A 15,255-nucleotide genomic window follows, 5' to 3' on the forward strand; every position below is an offset into this window, starting at 1 on the left:
ATTCTTTAAATGTTCTCATGAGACATTGTTATTGCTATTCCTATTTTGTTGATGCATATCATAGGATAAATCAAATAAGTATGCCGGCTTATTTTAATTACTTGAATTTTTGGCACAGGAGAAAGGAAATACAGAAGTAAGATGAAAGAGGTTAAATTAAAATCCTGTAGTCTTGATTTTGATAGGAAGTATCAATAGGATCTTAAAAATACATATTTTCTATATCCTCTGAAAAGGCTGAGAAAAATGATGATTACAGTGGCAATCAGCATCCTTAACACTTAGATTGTGTCTCAAAACACCATTTCCCTTGAGAAGGAACCCATTATCCTGAAGAAATGGCTGATTTCAGATATGGGACAAGAATTCTTCAATAAGAGCCTGAAGCATCTTGTCATATATGAAAGCAGGAAGCAATCCAAGAGTAACAAAGATGTGTTCAAAGACTCAGAAGCCACCCAGTAGGCTCTCACTGGTCAGTTCAAGCATCAATATTTAAATTGGATTGAAGCTGAGCATAGTGGCTCATGCCTGTAATCCCAGCACTTTGGGAGGCCGAGGCAGGCGAATAATCTGAGGTCAGGAGTTTGAGACTAGCCAGGCCAACATAGTGAAACCCCATCTCTACTGAAAATACAAAAAAAAAAAATAGCCGGGCATGGTGGTGGGTGCCTGTAATCCCAGCTACTTGGGAGGCTGAGGCAGAAGAATGACTTGAACCTGGGAGGCATAGGTTGCAGTAAGCCGAGATCATGCCACTGCACTCCAACCTGGCAACAGAGTGAGAATCTGTCTCAAAAATAAAATAAAATAAAAATAAAGTGGGTTGAAATTCATTAAATATATTTATGAATAAACTAACTGGTCACCATTGGAAAGTACTAAAGAACCAGTTAAATATCTTTAATATTGGTAAATAAAGAGAAAAATTCAAGCATTATCTTGCCTATTTTGTATAGAGTATCTTAGAGTAACTAGATAGTTGATGAGGTAAAATATTCTTTAATAGAAGGATTCCAAGTAGTCAACAAATAATCACTGTTATGCAACCCCTACTGAATTAATGGACCTGCATGATGATCACAAATGCCTACTAGCATCATGAAAAGGAGACAATAAGTCCTTATGTGCTTCCTGATGGGAATACCCAATATCATCTGTGAAGTAGTCTAGACAAGACAATTGAACCTGAATCTCATCAAGGCTCTAGATCTATCTACCAATTTACAGGAAATACAGAAGAAAGAAGAACATGTTTAACGACACCACCATGATGCAATAAGTGAATCTACACAGTGGGACCTGGTTTTTTCAATAAGATACTTAGGGAAATTTTCAGGGAAAAAAAAAGAGTTGAGAGGGAAACCTAAAGACTAAATAAACTCAAAGACAAACCACATAATGTCTATGTGTGAACTTAAACTTGATCCAGACTTAACTAAAATTTTGAGATAAAATTGTGAGATGATTGGGAAAATTATAACACTGAAATTAAGTTTTGAAATTAAGTAATTATTGTCAATTTTTAGGTATGCTAATGTGCTGTGGTTGTGTTTTAAGAGAGTCCTTAGGTCTTAGAGATATATCATTTTAAAGTTTTAAAAATAAAAATAAAATGATGTCTGTGACTTGCTTTTAAATAATCCGGGGCTAAGGGAAGGTAGTAGATTTGGATATAAATAAAACAAGATTGAGTGACTGCAAATTGATAATTGTTGAAGTTGGGTCATAGATACATAAGTGTTCATTATGCCATTTTGTTCTATTTTCTATGATTAAAAAAATTTAAATTGTACCTCTAAGTCATTCTATTAGGACAATGGTCATAAGACATCCACATGTTCTTCTTTTGTTTAGTCTTTTCCTCAACAAAAGTCCTTTCCTCCCAGTGCATTTTGACAGAGGCCTCTCTATTGCTATTGAAATAATTATTAATAATGATAATGTTAAAAGTGCCTATCATAAAGAGAATGTCATTGGTCCAAGTCTAGGATGCTGAATCTTGATGTTCTCGAAGCTTCCCATATATTTCTACATCTATATATTTTATAAAAATGAGATCATTCATGACATGCTGTGTGCATCCTGCTATATTTTACTTGATAAACTATTATGACTTTTTTTTTTTTTTGAGATGGAATCTCACTGAGATGCCCAGGCTGGAGTGCAATGGAGTGATCTCAGCTCACTGCAACCTCTGCCTCCTGGGTTCAAGGGATTCTCCTGCCTCAGCCTCCCAAGTAGCTGGGATTACAGGCTCCTGCCATCACACCCAGCTAATTTTTGTATTTTTAGTAGAGACGGGGTTTCACTTTACTGGCCAGGCTGGTCTCGAACTCCTCAGGTGATCCACCTGCCTTGGCCTCCCAAAGTACTAGGATTACATGCATGAGCCACTGTGCCAGGCCTATTATGACTATTTTAATATATTTTTATAATGTTTTAAAATCGTACCTGGTTTTCTATTAGATAGGTGAGGCTAAAACTTACAAAAATACTTTACTAAAAGAGCAAAGAGGAGAATATATATGAGACGTACAGAAAAAATTATAGCCATGTTCTGTAAATTCAAAGGCAGCAGATGATCTATTTCATTAATTTTTTCATGAGTTGTTTCTCCTAGAGAACTTTAGGCTCCAACTCCAGCCTACACAGGTACTCTCTGTGTCTGCTATATCGCTGTTGTTCTGGGACTTCGCTTTATTGCTTTCTAGTGTTGGAATCCCCTCTCTTTTGAATCTCATGTTTTATCTCTTGGAGTAGTTCTCCCCATCCCCATTTAAAAATGGGTATCTTCTGTCCATCCCTTCTCAAGGAACAATGCACCTGAAATAAATTGGATTATTTTCATGTCTGAAAATGCCTGTTAGACCTTCTCAATTGATTTTCAATACATTGCTCCAATGTCTTCTAGCTTTCAACAATACTATATTAATTTCAGAAACTTTTGACATTTTACATTATGAAAGCATTTACTCATCATTAACAATGTTTTGAAATTTTGAGGTGATGTTCCTTGGTAACAATTTTTCTCCATGATCATTAAGCTAAAATGGGGGTCCCTTTTAGTCTAGTGATTCAATATTTTCAGTGTTGAGACACTGTCTCATACTATTTCTTTGATAATTTCCTTCAGTATTTTTTTTTCTTGAGGAATTATCAGTGATATCTTGCATTCTCTGGATTTCCTTTTTAAATTTTCTTACCTTTTCTCTTGCCCATATGTCTTTTAGTTCTACTTTCTTGGATAGTTCCTTGGTATTACCTTAAAAATCTTCCACTGAATATTAAAGTTAGACTCAAAATTTTGAACTTTTAAAAAATTATTGTGGCTTCTTAGAGCTATTTATTTATTATTTCCTGAATATAATTTTCCCTCTTAATCCTCTTAGGAAATTGATAATATTTAGACTTTTTTTTCTGCTCCCTGTTTTATTCTTTCATTCGTTTTTATTCTGTTTGATTGTTTCAGCCATCATTCACTTAGTAAGCTTTCATGATTGTACTTTCATGTTTGAGATCAAAGCATTAAAAATGATTTGATATTCTCTCTACATGGACAAGGCTTTTATATGTATGAGTTTGCAGTAGGGTAGTTGGGCAGTAAGCTGACATTTTTTTACTGGGAGATTTCCAGAGTCCTTATCTGTATATCATTCCTCTGGAGGTATTCAGTTCTACAGAGAAGAATGTTTTTATAGGCTGAGAAATGGCTTGGGTTAAGGTCCTGTCATTCATCCTGCAAATTTCTATTTGATCTGTGTTTGATATTTTCCACTTGTCTCTCTGAATGCACCTTCTACCTTTCTTTCTCCTGCTATCTGCCCCTGGAATCCATTTTTATTACTCGAAGAGTGTATTTATTAGACCAATGCACTCTTTTCTCCCTTACTAACTGTGATTGGGTTGAACCAATGGGAAACCACAATGGGAGATCAAAAGGAGGGAAGAGAGGATTTATCTCCCCAACTCCCCTGCATCAGGGTCCTCTTGGGCTGGTTGTGTAAGTTAACTGAAGGTCACTACTCCCCTCAAGACAGCCCCGCTAGATGACTCTTTCTGCGTCCCAGGAACTAGTGTCTCCTCTCTTCCCTTTGGGCCCAGAGGTTATATCTGTTGGGCCTAGAGATTGCATTGGTTCTGTGGTTACCATCCCTTGCAGTTTTCTTTTATCTCATCCACACTTTCGTGGATAGTTCCCTTATGAATTTTTTCTAGAGTTATCCCGATTTCTTTTTTGCCATCTGTTTCCTGCTTCGACTTTGACCAATACCGTGATTGGCTCCATAATTGACCCAAAAAAACAGACCCTTAAAATAGAATTCTGGGATTGGTTTCTCATATATCTGAGGAGTGCAGGAATAAACACTTTTCCAGGGAGAAATGCAATGTCGGTAATCAATAGCATTATGGTGGTGTCATTATGATATTCATAAGATCACAGGTGGTAGCAGAGGATGGAGAGCCATAGAAGACAAGGGCTGTAGGAGAGCAAATGATGTGGCCCATAGTTGCTGTGGCAACAATAGGGATTATACAATATTGTGGAGTCACTTGGCTTTAATGACCCTAGAGGGCATACATAAAGAAAAAGAGAAGTTAAAAGCTTTATAAATTTCAATTAAGAATATATGTGGAAAGCCAGAAATCCACCATGGCATCTTTAAAGCAGTCTCTCTTTTCTATAGTTTCATGGCAGATCAGGTTGAGAACCAAGCCTAGGGTAAGGGCAATATTAGATAAGAAATGCAACCCCCAAACAAAGAATACGGTCACTTTAGCATCATGGCTGCCTCTGAGAACTTTGATCCTCAAGCTCTCCTTGAAACTCATAAATTGATGCCAATTCTTCTCAGTGTTTTCTCATTTCTTCTAAGCCCACAGTGGGAGTTAGTTCCCAACAGAACATGGAGGGAGAGGTAAAATGCCTGTTGAAGGAATATATCTTGAAAGAGTTACAAAAGCTTTCTAATCAGCAAAAGCCTGGGAACGTATATGGAAGTGCTAGAGCAAGAGTGATGAATCAATTTATTCAAGGTTTTGACTAGTATGTCCTGAGCACCTGGGAGTGGCATTAATCATTGGCTTTATGTATGTGTACATAAAAAAATAAATGAATGAATAAATATTCATATTCTTATTTAAATTTTTCTATAAGTTATTGGGGTACAGGTGGTATTTGGTTACATGAGTAGGTTCTTTAGTGGTGATCTGTGAGATTTTAGTACACCCATCACCTGAGCAGTATACACTGCACCCTATTTGTAATCTTTTATCCCTCTTCCCCCTCCCAATTTCCCCCAAGTTCCCAAAGTCCATTGTATCATTCTTTTTTAAATTTATTTATTATACTTTATGCTCTGGGATACAGGTGCAGAATGTGCAGCTTTGTTACAATTGTATCATTCTTATGCCTTTGCGTTGTTATAGCTTAGTTCTCACATATCAGTGAGAACATAAGATGTTTGGTTTTTCCATTCCTGAGTTACTTCACTTAGAATAATAGCCTCCAATCTCATCCAAGTCACCGCGAATGCCGTTAATTCATTCCTTTTCATGGTTGAGTAGTATTCTATCATATATAGATATGATATATCTATATATGTGATATATAGATATATAGATATATATATCTCACAGTTTCTTTATCCACTCGTTGATTGATGGGCATTTGGGTTGGTTCCACGATTTTGCAATTGCGAATTGTGCTGCTATAAACATGCGTGTGCAAATATCTTTTACGAATAATGACTTTTCCTCTGGATAGATACCCAGTGGTGGGATTGCTGGATCAAATGGTAGTTCTACTTTCAGTTCTTTACGGAATCTCCACACTGTTTTTCATAGTGGCTGTACTAGTTTACATTCCCAATAGCAGTGTAGAAGTGTTCCCTGTTCACCGCATTCACGCCAACATCTATATATTTTTTTATTTTTTTGACTATGGCCATTCTTGCAGGAGTAAGGTGGTATGGCATTGTGGTTTTGATTTGCATTTCCCTGATCATTAGTGACATTCAGCATTTTTTCATATGTTTGTTGGCCATTTGTATATATTCTTTTGAGAATTGTCTATTCATGTCCTTAGCCCACTTTTTGATGAGATTGTTTGTTTTTTTCCTGCTGATTTGTTTGAGTTCGTTGTAGATTCTGAATATTAGTCCTTTGTCAGATGTATAGATTATGAAGATTTTCTCCCACTCTATGGGTTGTCTGTTTACTCTGCTGACTGTTCCTTATGCTGTGCAAAAGCTCTTTAGTTTGTTTAATTATGTCCCAACTATTTATCTTTGTTTTTATTGCATTTGCTCTGGGTTATTGGTGATGAAATCCTTGCCTATGCCAATGTCTAGAAGGGTTTTTCCAATGTTATCTTCTAGAATTTTTATAGTTTCAGGTCATAGATTTAAGTCCTTAATCCATCTTGAGTTGATTTTTGTATAAGGTGAGAGATGAGGATCCAGTTTCACTCTCCTACATGTGGCTAGCCAATTATCCCAGGACCATTTGTTGAAAGGTGTCCTTTCCCCACTCTATGTTTGCTTTATTAAAGATCAGTTGGCTGTAAGTATTTGGGTTTATTTCTGGGTTCTCTATGCTGTTCCATTGGTCTATGTGCCTATTTTTGTACCAGTACCATGCTGTTTTTGTGACTGTGGGCTTATCATATAGTTTGAAATCAGGTAGTGTGATGCTTCCAGATTTGTTCTTTTTGCTTAGTCTTGCTTTGGCTATGTGGGCTCTTTTTTGGTTCCACATGAATTTTAGAATTGTTTTTTCTAATTCTGTGAAGAATGATGGTTGTATTTTGATAGGGATTGCATTGAATTTGTAGATTGCTTTTGGCAGGATGGTCATTTTGACAATATTGATTCTACCCACCCATGAGCATGGGATGTGTTTCTATTTGTTTGTGTCATCTATGATTCGTTTCAGCAGTGATTTGTAGTTTTCCTTGTAGAGGTCTTTTGCTTCCTTGGTTAGGTATATTTCTAAGTATTTTATTTTTTTTTTGCAGCTATTGTTAAAGAGATTGAGTTCTTGATTTCATTCGCCACTTGGTCACTGTTGGTGTATAGAAGAGCTACTGATTTTTGTACATTAATCTTGTGTCTGGAAACTTTGCTGAATTATTTTACTAGTTCCAGGAGCCTTCTGGAGAAGTCTTTAGCGTTTTCAAGGTAAATGATCATATCATCAGCAATCAGTGACAGTTTGATTTCCTCTTTACCGATTTGGATGCCTTTTATTTTTTTCTCTTGTCTGATTGCTCTGGCTAGGACTTCCAGTACTATGTTGAAGAGGAGTGATGAGAGTGGGCATCTTTGTCTTGTTCCCATTCTCACAGGGAATGCTTTCAATTTTTCCCCATTCAGTATTATGTTGGCTGTGAGTTTGTCATATATGGCTTTTATTACACTGAGGTATGTCCCTTCTATGCCAATTTTGCTGAGAGTTTTAATCATAAAGCAATGCTGGATTTTGTTGAATGCTTTTTCTGTATCTATTGAGATGATCATGATTTTTGTTTTTAATTCTGTTTATGTGGTATATCACATTTATTGACTTGTGTATGTTAAACCATCCCCACATCCCTGGTATGAAACCCACTTGATCATGGTGGATTATCTTTTTGATGTGTTGTCTGATTTGTTAGTTAGTATTTTGTTAAGGATTTTGGCATCCATGTTCATCAGGGATACCAGTCTGTAGTTTTCTTTTTTGGTTACGTCCTTTCCTGGTTTTGGTATTAGGGTGATGATGGCTTCATAGAATGAATTAGGGAGGATTCTCTCTTTATCTTGTGGAATAGTGTCAATAGCATTGGTACCAGTTCTTTGAATGTCTGGTAGAATTCTGCCGTGAATCTCTCTGGTCCTGGACATTTTTGTGTTGGTAATTTTAAAATTACTATTTCAATATTGCTGCTTGTTATTAGTCTGTTTAGGGTATCTAATTCTTCCTGATTTAAGCTAGGAGGTTTGTATTTTTCCAGGAATTTATCCATCTCTTCTAGGTTTTCAAGTTTAGGTGCATAAAGGTGTTCATAATAGCCTTGAATGATCTTTTGTATTTCTGTGGTGTCAATTGTATTATTTCCTCTTTCGTTTCTTATTGAGGTTATTTGGATTTTCTCTTTTCTTTTCTTGGTTAATCTTGCTAATGGTCGATCAATTTTATTTATCTTTTCAAAGAACCAGCTTTTTGTTTCATTTATCTTTTGTATTTTTGTTTGTTTGTTTGTTTCAGTTTCATTTAGTTCTGTTCTGATCTTGGTTATTTCCTTTCTTCTGATGGGTTTGGGTTTGGTTTGTCCTTGTTTCTCTAATACCTTGAGGTGTGACCTTAGAATGTCAGTTTGTGCTCTTTCAGTCTTTTTATGCAGGCATTTAGGGCTATAAACTTTCCTCTTAGCACCGCCTTTGCTGTATCCCAGAAGTTTTGATAGGTAGCGTCACTACTGTCATTCAATTTGAAGAATTTTTTTTTTTTTTTTTTGAGACGGATTTTCGCTCTTGTCACCCAGGCTGGAGTGCAATGGGTGCGATCTCAGCTCACTGCAACCTCCGCCTCCTGGTTTCAAGCAATTCTCCTGCCTCACACTCTTGAGTAAGTGGGATTATAGGCACCTGCAACCACGCCCAGCTAATTTTTATATTTTTTAGTAGACATGGGGTTTCACCATGTTGGCCAGGCTGGTCCCTAACTCCTGACCTCAAGTGATCCACCTTCCTTGGCCTCCCAAAGGGCTGGGATTACAGACATGAGCCACTGTGCCCAGCCCAAAGAATTTTAATTTCCATCTTCATTTTGTTTCTGACTCAGGGATCATGCAGGAGCAAGTTATTTAATTTCCATGTATTTGCATGGTTTTGAAGGTTCCTTTTGGAGTTGATTTCCAGTTTTATTCCACTGTGGTCTGAGAAAGTGCTTGATATAATTTCAATTTTCTTAAATTTATTGAGGCTTATTTTATGGCCTATCATATGGTCTATCTTGGAGAAAGTTCCATGCGCTGTTGAATAGAATGTGTTTTCTGCGGTTGTTGGATGGAATGTTCTGTATATATCTGTTAAGTCCATTTGTTCTAAGGTATAGCTTAAATCCATTGTTTCTTGCTGACTTTCTGTCTTGATAACCTGTCCAGTGCTGCCAGTGGAGTATTGAAGTCCCCACTATTATTGTGTTGCTGTCTATCTCATTTCTTAGGTCTATTAATAATTGTTTTATAAATTTGGGAGCTGCAGTGTTAGGTGCATATATGTTTAGGATTGTGATATTTTCCCGTTGGACAAAGCCTTTTACCATTATATAATGTCTCTCTTTGTCTTTTTTACCTGCTGTTGCTTTAAAGTTTTTTTGTTTGATATAGGAATAGCTACCCCTCCTCACTTTTGGTGTCCATTTGCATGAAATGCCTTTTTCCATCCCTTTACTTTATGTGAGTCCTCATGTGTTAGATGAGTCTTCAAGGCAGAAGATAGTTAGTTGGTGAATTCTTATGCATTCTGCAGTTCTATATCTTTTAAGTGGAGCATTTAGGCCATTTACATTCAATGTTAGTATTGAGATGTGAGGGTCCATTCCATTCATTGTGCTATTTGTTGCCTGTATACCTTGGTTTTTGTTTTGTTTTGTTTTTTAAATTGTATTTTTGTTTTATACGTCCTGTGAGATTTATGCTTTAAAGAGGTTCTGTTTTGATGTGTTTCCTGGATTTGTTTCAAGATTTAGAGCTCCTTTTAGCAGTTCGTATAGTGGTGGCTTGGTAGTGGCAAATACTCTCAGCATTTGTTTGTCTGAAAAAGAATGTATCTTTCCTTCGTATATGATGCTTAGTTTCACTAGATACAAACTCTTGGCTGATAATTGTTTTGTTTGAGGAGGCTGAAGATAGGACCCCAATCCCTTCTAGCTTATAGGGTTTCTGCTAAGAAATCTGCTGTTAATCCGATAGTTTCCCCCACCCCTCTTTATAGGTTACCTGGTGCTTTTGTCTCACAGCTCTTAAGATTCTTTTCTTCACTGGGCGCGGTGGCTCACCCCTGTAATCCCAGCACTTTGGGAGGCCGAGGTGGGCAGATCACCTGAGGTCGGGAGTTCAAGACCAGCCTGACCAACATGGAGAAACCCCATCTCTACTAAAAATACAAAAAAATTAGCCAGGCATAGTGGCACATGCCTGTAATCCCAGCTACCCAAGAGGCTGAGGCAGGAGAATCACTTGAACCCAGGAGGCAGAGGTTGCAGTGAGCCGAGATCACGCCATTGTACTCCAGCCTGGGCAACAAGAGCGAAACTCCATCTCAAAAAAAAAAAAAGATTCTTTTCTTCATTGTCTTAACTTAAGACAACGTGATGACAATGTGCCTAGGCAATGATCTTTTTATGATTAATTTCCCAGGTATTCTTTGTGCTTTTCTTGTATTTGGATGTCTAGGTCTCTAGCAAGGCCAGGGAAGTTTTCCTTGATTATTCCCCCAAATATACTTTCCAAACTTTTAGATTTATCTTCTTCCTCAGGAACACTGATTATTCTTAGGTTCAATCATTTAACATAATCCCAGACTTCTTGGAGGCTTTGTTCATATTTTCTTATTCTTTTTTCTTTGTCTTTGTTGGTTGGGTTAATTTGAAGACCTTGTCTTAGAGCTCTGAATTTCTTTCTTCTCCTTGTGCAATTCTATTGCTGAGACTTTCTAGAGCATTTTGCATTTAAATAAGTGTGTCAAATATTTCCTGAAGTTTTGAATTTTTTAAATTTATGCTATCTATTTCCTGAATATTTCTCCCTTCGCTTCTTGTATTGTTTTTTGGATTTCCTTGCATCGGGCTTTGCATTTCTCTGGTGCCTCCCTGATTAGCTTAATAACTAACCTCCTGAATTCTTTTTCAGGTAAATCAGGGATTTCTTCTTGGTTTGAATCCATTGCTGGTGAGGTAGTGTGATTTTGGGGGGATGTTAAAGAGCCTTGTTTTGTCATATTACCAGAGTTGGTTTTCTGGTTCCTTCTCATTTGGGTAGGCTCTGTCAGAGGGAAGATCCAGGGCTGAAGTGTGTTCAGGTTATTTTGTCCCATGGGGTGTTCCCTTGATGTAGTACTCTCCCCTTTTTCCTATGGATGTGGCTTCCTGAGAGTCAAACTATAGAGATTGTTATCAGTCTTCTGGGTCTAGCCACCCAGCAAGTCTACCAGGTTCCAGGCTGGTACTGGGGGTTGTCTGCACAGAGTCCTGTGATGTGAACCATCTATGGGTCTCTCAGCTGTGGATACCTCCACCTGTTCGGGTGGACTCTGTGAGGGTTCTTAGCTTTGGTGGCTTAATGCTCTATTTTTATGCTGGTTGGCCTTCTGCTGGGAGGTGGCACTTTCCAGAGAGCATCAGCTGTGATAGTATGGAGAGGAACTGGGGGTGGGCGGGGCCCTAGAACTCCCAAGATTATATGCTCTTTGTCTTCAGCTACCAGGGTGGGTAGGGAAGGACCATCAGGTGGGGGCGGGGCTAGGCATGTCTGAGCTTAGAATCTCCTTGGGTGGGTCTTGCTGTGGCTGCTGTGGGGGATGGGGTTGAGGTTCCCAGGTCAGTGGAGTTGTGTACCTAGGAGGATTATGGCTAACTCTGCTGAGTCATGCTGGTTGTCAGGGAAAAGGAGGAAAGTGGCAGTCATAGGCCTCACCCAGCTCCCACCAGCTCCCATGCAATCTGTAGGGGTGGTCTCACTTCCACTGTGCCCCCGCCAACAGCACTGAGTCTGTTTCCAGGCAGTGGGCAAGCAGGGCTGAGAACTTGCCCCAGGCTACCCACCTCCCAGCTGCAAAAGAAAAGTGCTTTAGTTCTTCCCCCAGCTTGTGAAGTCTGCACATGAGATTCATGCCCTCCCCCGAGTTCTGGCCAGGAGGCTTCTCAACCAGTTGAAATGTTACAAAGTTCAGCTGGAGACCTCCTTCTCCCTGTGGCATTTTCCCTGAGCTGCTGGCAGCCCTCCTGAAGGATCCCAGTGATGCCAGGCAGGAATGGTCTGCTTGGTGACCCAGCAAGCTCCCAGGGCCTTTCCCGCTGTTTGCTCTGCCCCTGTATTTCACTCGATTCTTTAAATTGACTCAACTCCAGGTAAGGTTGGAATCTTCTCTTTCAAACTAGACCTTCAGTTTCCCCAGTGGGGATGTATGTCAGGGGCAGAGGAACTCCCTTTCCCACTTCTGCAGTTTGGGTACTTACAGTATTTGGGGTGTCTCCTGGATCCTGCAGGAGCAGTCCACTTCCTTCAAAGGGTCTGTGGGTCCTTTCAGGATTCCTGATTTATTCCTGCAGCCGTTCTGGAGCTAAAATTCACAATGCGAGCCTCTGCATGCTGCTCTGTCCATCTGAGTCAGAGCTGCAGTCTAGTCCTGCCTCCCCTCTGCCATGACAATCCAAATCTAAATATTCATATTCTTTGAAGAACCCTGACTACTACAGATTGTGATACCTAGCATAGCTGAGGTTCCAGATGTAGTATCTTTACTAGCACAAATCGATAGAATGACTAGCGCCTGGTATAAAAATACCTTCTTTTCTATTTCTATTAGTAAGTGGAATCAGAAATGGCTTGCACTTACATAGCAGGGACAGCAATATGCTATTACACTCTTGCTCCTTGGGTCACAAGTTGAGTTCTCCAGAAAGCACTCTCTGAGAAGGAGCTAAGCATTCAGAGTGTTAATCAGCATAAACATATCTCCATAAAGATCAACACCTGCGGAAAGAGTACGGCAGATGTTTGCCCAAGGATGAGAGGGAAAATCTGTGAAAGTTCAAGAGCCTACAATATTGAGGTTTATGGAGGACAAGTGGTCTGAGTCATATTGGGACATCCATCTGAAGTAGAAGAGAAGTTACTGTACCTTGTACCACTCAGAATGCTTTATGGTCCTCTTTGGGTTATTGAGGCAACATCTGCCACATTAGGCATACTGTATCAACCCGCTTACTGGGTACCTTCATAAGTTGACAGTTTTGATTGGAACCTGAAATAAGAAAGAACTCTTAGACAGTTCAGGCTGCAGTTCATGCAGTCTTGCCACATGGACCCTGTGACCAAGCCAAACCAATGGTTCTGTCAGTGGCAGACAGAAGTGCTATGCAGAGCATCTGGCAAGCCCCAATAGAAGAATCACAAGATAGACACCCTAGAGTTTTGGAATAAGGCTATGTTCTATTCTGCCAACAACTATTCATTAGAGAAAAATATCCTGACTGTGCTGGTCTTGGAACAGATTGAATTCTTGACCATAGGATATCCAAATTGCCAAACTTCTGTTTTCTGATTCACTGAACCATAAAATTGGATGTGCACAGTGCATTGCATTATAAAATGGAAGTAGTATATATCAGGGGGTCAGCAAATTTTATCTATCAAAGACCAGTTAGTAAATATTTTAGGCTTTGTGGGCCATATGGTTCCTGCTGCAACTATTTAACTCTACTGCTGTGGCACAAAAGTGGCTATAAACAAGATGTAAATGAATGAATATGGCAGTGTTCCAGTAAAACTTTATTTATTGCACTGAAATTTGAATTTCAGATAATTTTATGTATCATGAAATATTATTCTTATTTTGATTTTTTTCCAGCCCTTTAAAAAATGGAAGGCCCATTCTTAGCTTGCAAAGAATGCAAGCTACAAAACAGGTGGCAGGCTGGATTTGGTCCATGGGCTGTGGTTTGTCAATTCCTGGTATATATGAAGCCATACCTGAGCAGGTACAGAAGGTACAACAAACTGTCCCAGGATAGCCAGTGGCTCCAACTCCCATCTGGCATCTGCTCCTACTGCTTTGCCTTCAACCCTCTCTATGATGAATTAACTGCAGAGAAAAAGACGTAGGCTCAGTTTATGGATGGATCTGTCTGGTGTGCTGGCAATAGGAAAACAGGGATGCCTGCTGTACCACTATCCCACTGCTGGTGGGCTCAACCCTGAGCTGTATATACAGTTAATCACTTTGTGTGTGGGGAGAAATGGCCTCAGAAGTAGATCTACATTCACTCAAGAGCAGTTGATAATAGTTTTTTACACTCAGGAACTTGGAAAGGACACTATTGGAATATTGATCACAATGTGGAAGGGGAGATAGAGATGTGGATGGGCTTCTTGGAATGAACAGAACATGAACATATTTGTGTCCCAGGTAAATGCCCATCAGAGACCATTCATAGTAGAAGAGCCTCTCAATAATCAGATGGACAAGGTGACTCATTCAGTCATTGTCAGTTACTCTTTTTCTCCAGACACTGAAGTGCATGCTTAATAGGCTATGGTGACAGGAATAGTGGTTGTACATAGGCTTACCAACTGTGTCTAATCATCATCAAAGTTGTTTGACTATTACCACTTGCAGAGTGGTACAGACATTAACAGACTGTGGTTGCTGTAATTGTCCATTAATAGTTAAAAGTGGACAAGAGAATAGCAAGAGATACCACAGGGGATTACTTGAGTGAGAAACATGTTTCTCTATGCCAAAACTGTTTAGTAGCAACTTCATAATTTTATAGTGATTTGTTAACTCCTTTGGTGCCTACTGCCCTACTGACACAATGATCCCAAAGTTACCAGATGCCAGCTGTAGATTTCAATTTAGTGAAACTCTTAATGTGTACCCTAAGAACGAGGGCCCCTGAACTCATAGAGCCTTGCAGAGATGAGAGGCACACATTCTCCAAGTGGGTTATGAGGAGTAGCAGTAGAAAGGGACACTCCTGTTTTTACTCCCTGATTCTCTGACCAACATATCCTACTGGGGTTACAGCATCCTATATCAGCATTGGTTTAAGGTATATACTGCATCCTGAAGAACATCCACTCATCATCAAAGAATGACATCTCTAAAATGGTGCCTTAGTTTCACCTTTAAGAGTCCACTCTAGTGCTGTATCAAGCTGCTGGGTCCTGGATAACGATGAATATAATAAGACCAATGGAGTCCATGGTCATGAGCTCACTGACCTACCTCCTTTGCCAAACATTGTCCCTTGGTACAAAGTGATGTGAACCAGGAACACATGTTAGAAAACCTGACACTCAGGAGTTCTCATATAGGTATCAGTCACAGCATCATGGGCAGCAAAGTCAACCCCATGTTTGGAAAGCACGTCAATCCCTGTCGGTGTTAACAGTGCGGAAGGGGCCCAATAACTTGCCAACACTGGGCTAATTAGGTTCCCTCAGGGATATACTGAAGTGGGGTGTCAGCATTGCCTCTATTGACA

The sequence above is a fragment of the Homo sapiens genome, chromosome 18 (assembly GCF_000001405.40).
Source record: "Homo sapiens chromosome 18, GRCh38.p14 Primary Assembly".
Classification (NCBI taxonomy): domain Eukaryota; kingdom Metazoa; phylum Chordata; class Mammalia; order Primates; family Hominidae; genus Homo; species Homo sapiens.